Source organism: Homo sapiens, chromosome 1 (genome assembly GCF_000001405.40).
Source record: "Homo sapiens chromosome 1, GRCh38.p14 Primary Assembly".
Lineage (NCBI taxonomy): Eukaryota > Metazoa > Chordata > Mammalia > Primates > Hominidae > Homo > Homo sapiens.
The window spans coordinates 25,977,631-25,990,297 of NC_000001.11; the positions used below are offsets into that span (position 1 = coordinate 25,977,631).

The 12,667-nt window shown below is 45.8% G+C and overlaps 1 protein-coding gene across 6 annotated transcripts in view; it reads right to left on the reverse strand.

The window, feature by feature from the left end:
- Nucleotides 1-12,667, reverse strand: part of PAFAH2 (platelet activating factor acetylhydrolase 2) — a 38,297-nt gene that overhangs the window by 17,864 nt on the left and 7,766 nt on the right. For 4 of the 6 annotated variants that reach the window (NM_000437.4, XM_006710670.4, XM_047421698.1 and 1 more), the window contains 5 exons: nucleotides 11,818-11,971; nucleotides 10,601-10,697; nucleotides 6,830-6,898; nucleotides 6,316-6,457; nucleotides 4,734-4,847 (listed from right to left, as the gene is read on the reverse strand). In NM_000437.4, the coding sequence (NP_000428.2) occupies nucleotides 4,734-4,847; nucleotides 6,316-6,457; nucleotides 6,830-6,898; nucleotides 10,601-10,697; nucleotides 11,818-11,971 (576 nt within the window). The remainder of the gene's footprint in view (nucleotides 1-4,733; nucleotides 4,848-6,315; nucleotides 6,458-6,829; nucleotides 6,899-10,600; nucleotides 10,698-11,817; nucleotides 11,972-12,667) is intronic. The other 2 variants (XM_047421701.1, XM_047421700.1) reach the window with 1 other exon arrangement.

Genomic DNA, 12,667 nt, shown 5'->3' on the forward strand with positions numbered 1-12,667 from the left:
GGTGAGAGTGAGACCCTGTCTCCAAAAAAAAAAAAAAAAAAAATCTATGAAGAAATGAATGGCTCGAAATGGTCAGATTCCACACTGACCCATCAGTTTATGAGCATGTTAAGAATAAGGGCCACCTCCATCCTCTAGAATCTCTGCCTTATAAACTGGTCCGAGGGTCCATGACACATGGACTGAGCTGAGGGTGAAACGGGGATGCTCCTTGCTGCCCATCCATTGTACTCTGGAGCAAAGACTGCCAGTGCAGGTTCTACTTCCTCTTTGGATATATGTCGTGATTTTTATCCAAAGCCAAGGGGAAGAGTGAGTCTGTGCACTCTAACATGCTTCACACGTATCTATTTCTAGTCGTCCCCAGAAGCCTTCAGGGTATGGTTATATAAAAAGCCACTGCAGCTGCTTGCTAAGGGGCTCTGGAGGCCTCTCCAGGCTCTACAGCCCAGCCTCTGCTCTGAACTTTTGCTCTGCTCTCCCCAGTGTCTATTCCAAGGCTTTGTACCTAAATCCTCCCCCTTCACTCAGTACCCTCGGATCAGCATCTTGGTTGGATGGCCTCTTCAACATTAAAAAAAAATAGGTTAATATATTCATATACCTCTAAAATCAGAGGTATACAAAGAAATCTCCTACCTACCCCTGTCTTTTTCTATATAGTTGCCCGCCACCTACCTCCAAACAGGTAACAGTTTCTTATGTGCCCCTAAGGAGATTGCTTATATTCATAAGTCAACATGAATATATACACTTTCCCTCTTTTCATACACCTGGCGCTGTATATTTTTGTACATAACCACATTAGTATATAAAGTGTTTCCACATCCTTTTTCACAGTGACTTGGCCATGGTACAGACAGCTAGCCGATCACCAAATCTTTTCCTCTTCTTCCTGGTCTCACAGCTAAACTGTTTCCCAGCAGTTAGATAAGGACTTGTGATTGTTCTAGCCAACAGAATGTGAGCAAAAGTGATATCTCTACTTCCAGACCTGGTCCATAAATTGTCTCATACAAATCTCTATGCCCTTTCCCATTCTGTTGGCTTAATGCAAACAACAAATTTGGGATTCACAAATTTTGTGAGAGGGTAGAGCCATATGAGATTATAAAAGGAGCAGGGATCCCTGAGTTGCCTCTTACACAGGAGCACCCATATTGAACTTTATGTAGGAGAGAAATACATTTATACTGTGTTAAGCCACTGAAATGTGGCGTTTACACACTCTAGCAATTAGCATTAACCAAGCAAATACATCCACTGTCCCATAATTAAACCAGTTCCCTCACTGGTGAATGTTTAGGTTACTATCAAACTTTTGCCATAACAAACAACGCTGGAATGAATAACACTGTCCATCTATCATGCTGCATGTGTGCAGGTATTTATTTGTAGGATAAATTCCCCAAACTGGAAATTACTGGGTCAAAGAAACATATGCATTTGTACTGTTGATGATATCAATTGCCACATGTCCTCCATGGGACAATTTGTATTCTCACCAGCAATGTAGGAGAATATCTACTTCCCCACAACTTTGTTAACAGAGTGAGTAATCAATTTTTGGATCTTACTCAATTTGATAGATGAAAATGTACTTAGCTTTTTTAATATGCTGTATTTTCCCCTAAAAGGCTGCCCTCTTAACTAATCTAACTGGACTGTAGCCTGCCATTTACCAATGCCTTTTTTTTTTTTTTTTGAGATAGTCTTGCTTTGTCACCGAGGCTGGAGTGCAGTGGCACAATCTTGGCTCACTGCAACCTCCACCTCCTAGGCTCAAGGTCAAGCAATTCTCGTGCTTCAGCATCCCGAGTACCTGGAACTATAGGCACATGTCACCACGCCCAGCTAAATTTTGTATTTTTTTTGAGATGGAGTTTTGCTCTTGTTGCCCAGACTGGAGTGCAATGGTGTGGTCTCGGCTCACTACAATCTCTGCCTCCCGGGTACAAGCGATTCTCCTGCCTCAGCCTCCCAAGTAGCTGGGATCACAGGTGTCTGCCACCATGCCCAGCTAATTTTTTTGTATTTTTAGTAGAGACGGGATTTCACCATGCTGGCCAGGCTGGTCTCGAACTCCTGACCTAAGGTGGTCCGCCCGCCTCAGCCTCCCAAAGTGCTGGGATTACAGGCGTGAGCCACCACGCCTGGCCTGAATTTTGTATTTTTAGTAGAAATGGGGTTTCGCCACGTTGGCCAGGCTGGTATCGAACTCCTGGGCTCAAGTGATCCACCCGACTCAGCCTCCCAAACTGTTGGGATTACAGGCATGAGCCTGGTTTCCCAGTGCCTTTCTCAGGCATTCAGGCCTGGACCTCAGTGCCCAGGGCACCTCCAAGTCTCGTGGGGGTTGATGATACAAACACTGTAGTTGGTAAAGCACTCTAGATTCCAGGGTCTGCCTTACCTACTGGGCATGCAGGCAGACTGCTTCTCCCTGGAGGATATTACCAAAGCCTTTAAAATATATGTTCTGAAGAAGGTTTGGGGCACACAGCTTAGGCTGTAGAATCAAAAAGCCCCAATTTCATGTTTGACTCTACCACTTACTTAGCTGGGTAATCTTGGGTACTTAGCCTTTTTGATCCTTAGTTTCTTTCTATGTAAAGAGGTATGAATGCTTACTGCATAAGTTTGTGGGAGGAGCTCTTGAAATAGCAAGTCTCATAAAGCAGTAATCGTAAATATATAAGTTTTTTTTTTTTGAGACGGAGTCTCGCCCTGTCACCAGGCTGGAGTACAATGGCGCGATCTTGGCTCACTGCAACCTCCGCCTCTTGGGTTCAAGTGATTCTCCTGCCTCAGCCTCCCAAGTAGCCAGGACTATATGCCCAGCTAATTTTTGTATTTTTAGTAGAGACGGGGTTTCGCCATGTTGGCCAGGATGGTCTCAATCTCTTGACCTTGTGATCCACCCACCTCAGCCTCCCAAAATGCTGGGGTTACAGGCGTGAGCCACCGCACTGGGCCATATTTATATATATATATATATATATTTTATATATATTTATTTATATATTCATATATATACACATATGCACATACACACACCATTCTTATTCATACAATACAATATGATATGGCTATTAAAAATCATGCAGTTGGGTGCAGTGGCTCACACCTGTAATCCCAACACTTTGTGAGGCCAAGGCAGGTGGACTGCCTGGGCCCAAGAGTTTGAGATCAGCCTGGGAAACATGGTGAAACCCCATCTCTACAAAATACAAAAAATTAGCTGGGCATGGTGGCGCACACCTGGAGTCCCAGCTACTTGGGAGGCTGAGGTAGCTACAGTGAGTGGTGATCACATCACTGTACCTCAGCCTGGGTGACAGAGTGAGGCCCTGTCTCAAAAAAATAAATAAATAAAAACAAATAATAAAGGTCAAGCTATACAGGAGGATTGCTTGAGCCTAAGAGTTTGAGTCCAGCCTGGGCAGATAGCAAGACCCTGTCTCTAAAAAAATTTTTTTTAAATCATGCCATACAAAAATATTAATTGGCATAAGAAGATACTCATACTGTCTTGCTAAATGAAAATAAGGCCACAAAACAGCTTGTATTAAATGATAACATAATTGTGTAAAAAAAATATACACATATTAATACATGTAAAAATAACTGGAAGGACAAATATCAAAATATTGAAAAAGGTTTTTCATTTTTCTTCATGCTTTTGTGAAATTTCTTGGTTCTCTGAATACAGCCGGAATGACTTTTGAAATTATGGAGAAAAAAAGATTGGGTGGGGGTGGGGTATGAAGAATGTATCTTCATAAGCACCAAATTCCATGGCCAGGATGGTTTTATACCCTCCCGGGAGGGTTCTTGGGATTCCCTCAAAGGAAGGACTGAGCCTGCAGTGGACACAGGTTGTTTGCTGCTCAGTAGCCTGAATCTTCTCCCCGCCATCCATCTGGTCCTGTGGGTGGTCAATCACCTGACCCAGAAGTGAGAATGTAACCTAGGCAGGCCAATCGGAATACCCTCTCCCTCTGACAAAGGGACTGGCCCAGAGGGGCATGAGACCCACGTAGGGTCACAGCTTTCCCAGATTAGTGGAAGCTAAGACAGTCTCTTTTCTTTTTAAACCTGGAGCTGATGCCTGGCGTGGTGGTTCACGCCTGTAATCCCAGCACTTAGGGAGGCCGAGGCGGGCGGATCACTTGAGATCAGGAGTTCGAGACCAGCCTGGCCAACATGGTGAAACCCCGTCTCTAGTAAAAATACAAAAATTAGCCAGGCACAGTGGCAGGCGCCTATAATCCCAGAAACTCAGGAGGCTGAGGCAGGAGAATCGCTTGAACCCGGGAGGCGGAGGTTGCAGTAAGCCAAGATTGTGCCATTGCACTCTAGCCTGGGGACAAGAGCGAGACTTTGTCTCCAAAAAAAAAAAAAAGCAAAAAAACTGGAGCTGTAAGTTGGTGTGCAGGCTTGAACTGCTAGCGACCACCTTTCTTGCCTAAAGGAGAGAGTCTGGTGAGAAAACCACAGATATACAGAGAAACCAAGCCAGGAGAGGGGAGAGAAGAGTGCCAGGGCTTTGATGACAATGTCTGAGACCCTGGGTCTAACTACACTGGCCTAAAGTTGGCCTTTGATCTTCTTGATAGTTATATGAGCCAATCAATTCTCTTTTGGTTCATACCAGTTAGTTAGGTTTCTGTTACTTGTAACCGAGAAAACCCTGAATACTGGGCTCTAGGTCATACCAATTGCTTCCATACCTTCAAAGTCATCAGATCCAAGCCACCAGGCAAGATGTTGAAGACAGTCTGCCCAGCAGTGACCTCTTGCAGGATCTTCAACACCCGTAAACACTCGCTTACCCGCTGATGCACCTGCAACAGAGACAGTCCCAGTGGGACTGGAACACTCCACAACTGTCCAGCGAGAATCTCCCTCACGTACAGAGCCAAGGAAGAATGCACAGATAGTCTACCCACCCACGCCTCAGCAAGCACCTTGGGTGCCATGTCCTGAGAAGGCTCAGCTACCTTGCAGCTCACATAAGCACTGCCTAACATTAGAACAGACTCAGCCCTGTTGTTCTGACTCTAACTACATAACCACAGGGCTGTCAGAAGGATCCAATGAGATGATGTACATGAAAGCATTTTAAAAACAAAAGGAATTAAGAGTGCTGTTATTAGCAAACCAGTACTGGATTCCACTGCCCATTTACATCAGACATCTATTGTTTTTGTCTCCCAAGCACTTACCCCCTTTCCTTCTCTTGTTAACCCTGGCTTTTGAGGATGGCCTTCCCACTCCCATTCTAACAATGTATTTCTGGTGGGAACTTCCCATTTTGTTACTTCTCCCCAGGCCTGGAATCCCTCTCCAGGATTTTTCAAACTGCAGTTTGGCACCAGGGTAAGGGACTGAGGGAGCAACTCAAACACAGTCCTATTCTCATAGGTGACAAGGCTGAACACACACAAGGTCAGAGCTGTCAAGAGCTGTGGTTCTGACTGGGTGCCGTGGCTCACACCTATATCTCCAGCACTTTGGAAGGCCACAGTGGGAGGATCGCTTGAGTTCAGGAGTTTGAGACCAGCCTGGGCAACATAGCAAGACCCCGTCTCTACTAAAAAAACAAAATTGTGTGGTGGTGTGTGCCTGTAGTCCCAGCTACTCAGGAGGCTGAGGTAGGAGGGTCACTCGAGCCTAGGAGATTGAGGTTGCCATTGAGCCGTGTTGGTGCCACTGCACTCTAGCCTGGGTGACAGAGTGAGACTCTGTCCCAAAAAAATAAAAATAAAAAAAAATTAGCTGCGCATAGTGGTGCATGTGTGTAGTCCCAGCTACTCAGGACACTGAGGTAGGAAGATCTCTTGAGCCCAGAAGATTGAGACTGCAGTGAGCCATGATCATGCCACTGCACTCCAATCTGGGCGACAGAGCAAGATCCTGTCTCAAAAACAAAAAAAAAAACAACTTATGGTTCTAACCTTGGAAAGTAGGCCAGTTTGAAGATGAGACCCACCAACCAAGAGAGAGACAGAAATGAGGATGAAGAACAAATCCTGACGGCATTTAAGTCTGGTTCCAATTGTCCTTCTCTTCCTACAGTCTACTTATATGAGCCCATCATTCCCTTTTTTGCCTAGGTAAGCCTAAGTTGGGGTTCTGTCACAGCAATTGCAAGAGTCCTGATTAATATCCTATGTATTTCCACTGATGTGGCAAACTCAGACCCACTATGACTGACATTTCAAGAGAGGGTTAACTAAAAGTCTTGCTATCAAATATAGTAGGGAGAGAACAGGCTCATTAACTCTCCCTCCCCAACTGGCACAAACTTACCTGGGGATTCCGAACATGAAATTCCTTCTCCCCTTCCTCAACTCGACGGAAAGGGATCCATTCCTCCTGCAGCGATTCATTGGTGGGCTGGTTCTCTTCTGGGGCCTGCTTGCAGAAATAGGTGGTTGCCGCTGACCGGTCCCTGAAATACACACATCATCAGAGAGAAACCAGAAAACATTCTTGAGTTTATTTTTCCCCTTTACCAAAGCCTCCCTTTCATCCAGGAGGCTCTAGATCACCCTTTGGCTAGTAGGGAAGGAGATCTGGGGCATGCATAGGGAAGTGGAAAAAATACAGATTTTAGAGACAGACCTGGGTTTGAATTCCAACTCAGCTATGTCACTTTTGGGAAATTATTTAACATCTTTAAACCTTGGTTTTCTCTCCTTTAAAAGTGGTATAATGCTGGCTTGCACGGTTGTCGAGAGGGTTAGAAATAGTACATTGATAGGGGACTAGCCTATATCCTAGCTCACTGCAGGCACCCAATCCATGGCGGCTCATCCCTCACCTGTGCTCTGGCACAGCAACCACAAAGCCACGTGAGGCCAGCTCCATGCAGAAGGCTGAATACAAAGTCCTGGAGATTCAAAAAGGAACAAGGAAAAGGGATCAAAAGAACAGCCCAGCCTTCACCCTCATTCCAACAATGCTCTGCTAGCAGCCATCTTGTGGAATTACCACATCAACCTTAACTGTCTACCTCTGGCTTCCTTTCACTTGAGAGAGAAATAAACATTACCATATTTAAGTCACTATTATTTGGGAGTTTTCTGTTAAATACAACTTGCCCAATTTCCAATTGATACAGGGAGATCAGGTTCTTAAGTTCCTTTTCACCTTCTCCCACTTTTCTAGGGAAGGCAGTGAACTGGACTTCAGAGCCAGAGAGATTTCTTTTTTTTTTTTTTTTTTTTTGAGACAGAGTCTCGCTCTGTTGCCCAGGCTGGAGTACAATGGGACTATCTTGGCCTCGGCTCACTGCAACCTCTGCCTCCCGGGGTCAAGTGATTCTCCTGCCTCAGCCTCCTGAGTAGCTGGGATTACAGGCGTGCACCACCATGCCCGGCTAATTTTTTTTTGTATTTTTAGTAGAGGTGGGGTTTTACCATGTTGGTCAGGCTGGTCTCAAACTCCTGACCTCGTGATCCGCCCACCTCGGCCTCCCAAAGTGCTGGGATTACAGGCATGAGCCACCGCACCCAGCCAGCCAGAGAGATTTCTGATCCCTTCCCAGTTCAAACTGTGTCACCTTGGGCAAGTCTGCCTTCCAGAGCCTGTTTGCCCAGCTGAAAAATAGGCATTCCTGCCTGTGCACCTCAGAGGGCTATGTGGGAATCAAATGAGACAATGGCACACTGAGAATGGTTAGGTATTTAACTGCACATATTCCAACTTAGGATAGGAAACCATAGGTCCATGACCCATGGGAAGGATTTCAGAGCCTGAATTAACCACAGATGCAATGAGAGGAAACAATGTTCCTTATCCTCCCTTCCTTTTCCCTTGGAATTTCACTCTGGTTAATGAGAGTATTTTTAACTGCCTCGCCCAGGTCTAATGAAGTGTGAAGTCTCAATACAGATTCTTAGACCAAAAGGACCACCTCAAAGTGCTCACCTACTCTCTCCATAAATACCTGTTGGCCTAGGAGGAAAAGGTTTCTTTGCTTCTTTTCCCTGCTAGACTATAATCTTCCTGAAGGTAGGAATTCTCTCGTCTTCACTACTGAATGCCCAGCCCCGGCACACAGCAGGTACTCAATTTATTGAACAAGAAAGCAGCATCAAAAACCACCTACTTGCCTTTCTAACTTCATCTCCATATTTACTCTCCACTTCCTGCCATGGGCTACAGTTACAGGAGTCTATGTTCCTGCTCCTCTAGCAGATGCGATTTCCTCGATTTGTTAATCTTGGTATGTCCCACCTTCCTCTCATGCCAAGGGGCTGGCACAGAGCAGGTGCTCCACAGATGTCTGCTGAATGAATGAGAACCTAGCACAGCACAGCCCTTGTATTCATTCAATAAATACTTATGGCTAAACAACTACTTTCCAGGCACTGTCCTAGAAGCCAGAGCAATAGAAGACAGATGTGGTCTCTGCCTTCAGAAGGCTTACAATCTAGTGAAGAAGACAGGCATTAAAGAATAATTACACAAGTAATTAATTCATTACAATTATGTTAAATGCTGAGAAGTATAGATTGTCTTATGAAAGCACATTCTGGAAAAATTAACCTAATATAATATAGGTGTCAAGATGGGTGTCCCTAGGACAATGACATCCAAACTAAGATCTTAAAGGTAATCTGGAATTAGCAGGAAAAGACGGAGAGGGGCAAGAGGAAGAGAAGAGCAGAACGGTGAATAGTCCAGGCAAAAAGATCAGCCACAAAGCATAGCACAGATGAAGACAGCGAGGGAGGAAATAACCCAGTGCCTTTCAGTAAGTGAAAGAAGGCCATTTTGTCTGGAGAGCTACACTGGGGCAAATAGCAAGGAACAGGCCTAGAAACTTTGTCTTGGACCTGCATTGAGGTAAGACCATGAAAAGAACTGAATTAGGTTCAAAGAGCTATTAAATTTTTTTTTTCTGAGATGCAGTTTTGTTCTTGTTGCCAAGGCTGGAGTGCAATGGCACAATCTTGGCTCACTGCAACCTCCACCTCCCAGGTTCAAGCAATTCTCCTACCTCAGCCTCCCAAGTAGCTGGGATTACAGGCATGCACCACCACACCTGGCTAATTTCTTGTATTTTTAGTAGAGACAGGGTTTCTCCATGTTGGTCAGGCTAGTCTCGAACTCCCAACCTCAGGTGATCCACCCACCTCGGCCTCCCAAAATGCTGGGATTACAGGCGTGAGCCACCGCGCTCGGCCAAAAATTTTTAAGTGGGAAAAAACATTCATTCATTCACTCAACAAATATTTATTGAGTACCTATTATATGCTGGGCACTGCTTTGAGTGCTGGAATGACAAGATCATATTTCGTTTTAAAATAGATCTCCCTGACAGGCGCGGTGGCTCATGCCTGTAATCCTAGCACTTTGGGAGGCTGAGGCAGGTGGATTGCCTGAGGTCAAGAGTTTAAGACCAGGCTGGCTAACATGGTGAAGCCCTGTCTCTACAAAAATTAGCTGGACATGGTGTTGGGTGCCTGTAATCCCAGCTACTTGGAGGCTGAGGCAGAAGAATCGCTTGAACCCGGAAGGCAAAGGTTGCAGTGAGCCGAGATCACGCCACTGCACTCCAGCCTGGGCGACTGATCGAGACTCTGTCTCAGAAAAAATAAAATAAAATAAAATAAAATAAAATAAAATAAAATAAAATAAAATAAAATAAAAAGATCTCCATGGCTACAATGTGGACAATGGTTTGGGGGCTGAGAGGCAAAAACAGATGCCTTTGAGATGTGCAACATTCTGGGACCTAAACTAGACATATATGTTGATGAACAGACAGAGAGAACATTCACAAGCTTAAATAAGAACACATGGGGCCGGGCGCAGTGGCTCACGCCTGTAATCCCAGCACTTTGGGAGGCCGAGGCTGCTGGCTCCACAAGTGCAGGGAGCAAGTCTCTTATTCGCTACTACGCCAATGCCACACACAGAGTGAACCCTCATGTTAAATAAATGACTCTTGGTGGGGCACAATGGCTCATGCCTATAATCTCAGCACTTTTGGAAGGCTAGAACGGGAGGATGGCTTGAGCTCAGGAATTCAAGATCAGCATGGGCAACACAGTGAGATCTCGTCCCTGAAAAAAAAAAAAAAAATTTAAAAATAGCCAGGCGTGGTGGTACGTGCCAGCTACTTGGTGGCTGAGGCAGGAGCACTGCTTGAGCCCAAGAGGTTGAGGCTGCAGTGAGCTGTGATCACACCACTGCACTCCAGCCTGGGCAACAGAATGAGACCCTGTCTGAAAAAAATAAAAATAAAATAGATAAATAAATGATGCTCTGATCACAAAGCTCATGCTCCTTCTAGCATTTCTGGGCTATCACATAGGAGGAAAGCTAAAAGTGTTTATTTATATAAATGCTGGACCATGAGAAGTAAAGCATATAAAGGCTGCTGAAAGGCTCCACAAGGTGAAAAGGACTTGAAAAAGGCCTTCTGGGGAAGGTGAACCCAATGCTATGGGACGAAGCAGATGGGAGATAAGACAGCTAGCAGATGGAAATGTCTTTTTTTTGCCCTTTGAGAATAAGCTAAGACTCAGCAGCTGTCACCAGGCAAGGAGTATGGCAAGGTCTGGGGGAAAGAAGCTCTTACCTGAAGGCTCCTAGGCCATGGGAGAAGATGATCAAGGGGTATCCAGAGTCCTTTGTCTTAAAGGGGCCATTCCAGCTAACAGGCAGGCGACAAGATCCTAGCAGAGACATGGGCTATAGAATATCTGGCTGCCCCAAAGCTGTTATCCCAAGGGCAGCCTGAGTATAGGTATGGGTGGGGACATGTGTTTCTCCCCTCTGGAGAACCACCATCGGCCCCTGAGCAGCTCAGGGCAGTTAATCACCTATTTCTTCTCCCTTTCTTCCCTAGGAAGAGTGAACACAACAGAAAATGGGAAGCTAAGCCAGGCGCAGTGGCTCACGCCTGTATTCCCAGCACTTTGGCAGGCCAAGGAGGGCGGATCACGAGGTCAAGAGACCAGCCTGGCCAAGTGAAACCCCGTCTCTACTAAAAATACAAAAATTAGCTGGGCGTGGTGGCGGGCTCCTATAATCCCAGCTACTCAGGAGGCTGAGGCAGGAGAATCACTTGCACCCTGGAGGCGAAGGTTGCAGTGAGCTGAGATTGTGCCATTGCACTCCAGCCTGGGCAACAAGAGCAAGACTCCATCTCACCAAAAAAAAAAAAAAAAAAAAAAAAAAAGGAAAAGAAAATGGGAAGCTAAGTCCAAAGTGGCAGTACTGAACCCGGGGTAAACTGCTGAGATGCCAAGGCACTGGGTGGAATTCCTAGGTGTGGGACCTTTGGGGGAAGTGGATGACTCAATGTTACCCTACTCAGAAGAGGGGTGACTGGAGGGAAAACTGCAGGAAACTGTACGCTCCTTGACAGTTAAGAATCTTTCTTTGATACACACAATAGCTGGCACAGAGTAGGAATTAATACATGCTAAACAAAGGAGCAATCAGTGCCATTTATGGAACACATTATATGTCCCAAGCACCGCATTAGAGGCTTTACGTACATCCCGTACTACAAACCCCCAAAGACATGTATTTAGACAGGTTCAGTAACTTGCCCAAACCCCATGGCTAGTAACTTATAAAGTCTGGATTTGAATCCAGGAAAGTCTAACTCAGTCACCAAAGCTCTTTCATATGTAATTCTCTCCCAACTCTCCATACCACACTGGCTAATGGATGCCCCTTACAAAAGCCTGGACACTGCAGGCTATAAGGTACTGCGTCCACCTGGGGATCTCCCAGGAACATAACCAAGCAACTGGGAAAGCATGCAGAGGTCAGGCCAGCCCTTACCCACCGCCAGGTTGAACAGCAAGCCCCCGCAGCGCTTATTAAACTGCAGGTACTCGGCCAGGCCAGTGCAGTACTCATAGCGGGGAATCCACAGGGGCTGCTCCATGGTCTCCTCTGCCTTTTGGCAGGGGTAGAAGAGTCGAAAGAAGCTCCCCTGTAGGAAAGAAGAGAGCAGCTGCTCAGAGCAAGGAGCCCAGGCTAGATTTCCCAACAGCCACACTCAGCAGGTGTTTGGGGCACCAGCAAAACAGGGCACCAAAACAGGGAAACTGAAGTTTCAATTAGCATGCCTGAATTTCACATTCAGAAATCTGGAAAGAAGCAATTTGATTTTTAGCATATATGTAAAGCTTACGTTATTTCAAATAGCCAACTGTATTTTGAATTACATTGTGGGAGGGGGCACCAAAAATATTTGAGTGCTTGGGACAATGAAAGATTTAAATCTGGCCCTGAACCTAGGCCTAGAGGAGCCCCAGGAGTTAGAGATTAGTTCTCGTGCTGAACAGGGTGGCCTTGGTAGCTCATCCAGGCCACTCTGCTCTAGGACAGCCCCTGGGAAGCAACAGCACACTCATTTTACATGGGAGTAGGTGAGGGGTTACTAGGAAGTGTGTGCCTCTCAAGGGAGACAGGAAGTCCAAGGGCTAGCAGAGAAAGACCTAGGAACTAAGCCAGGCACAGTGGCTCATGCCTGTAATCCCAGCACTTTGGGAAGCCGAGGTAGGAGAGTCGCTTGAGGCCAGGAGTTAGACATCAGCCTGGGCAACATAGCAAGGCCTCGTCTCTACTATATATACATATATATAAGATAGAGGACCAGTCCAGAAGTCAAAGCAGGAGGGGAAAA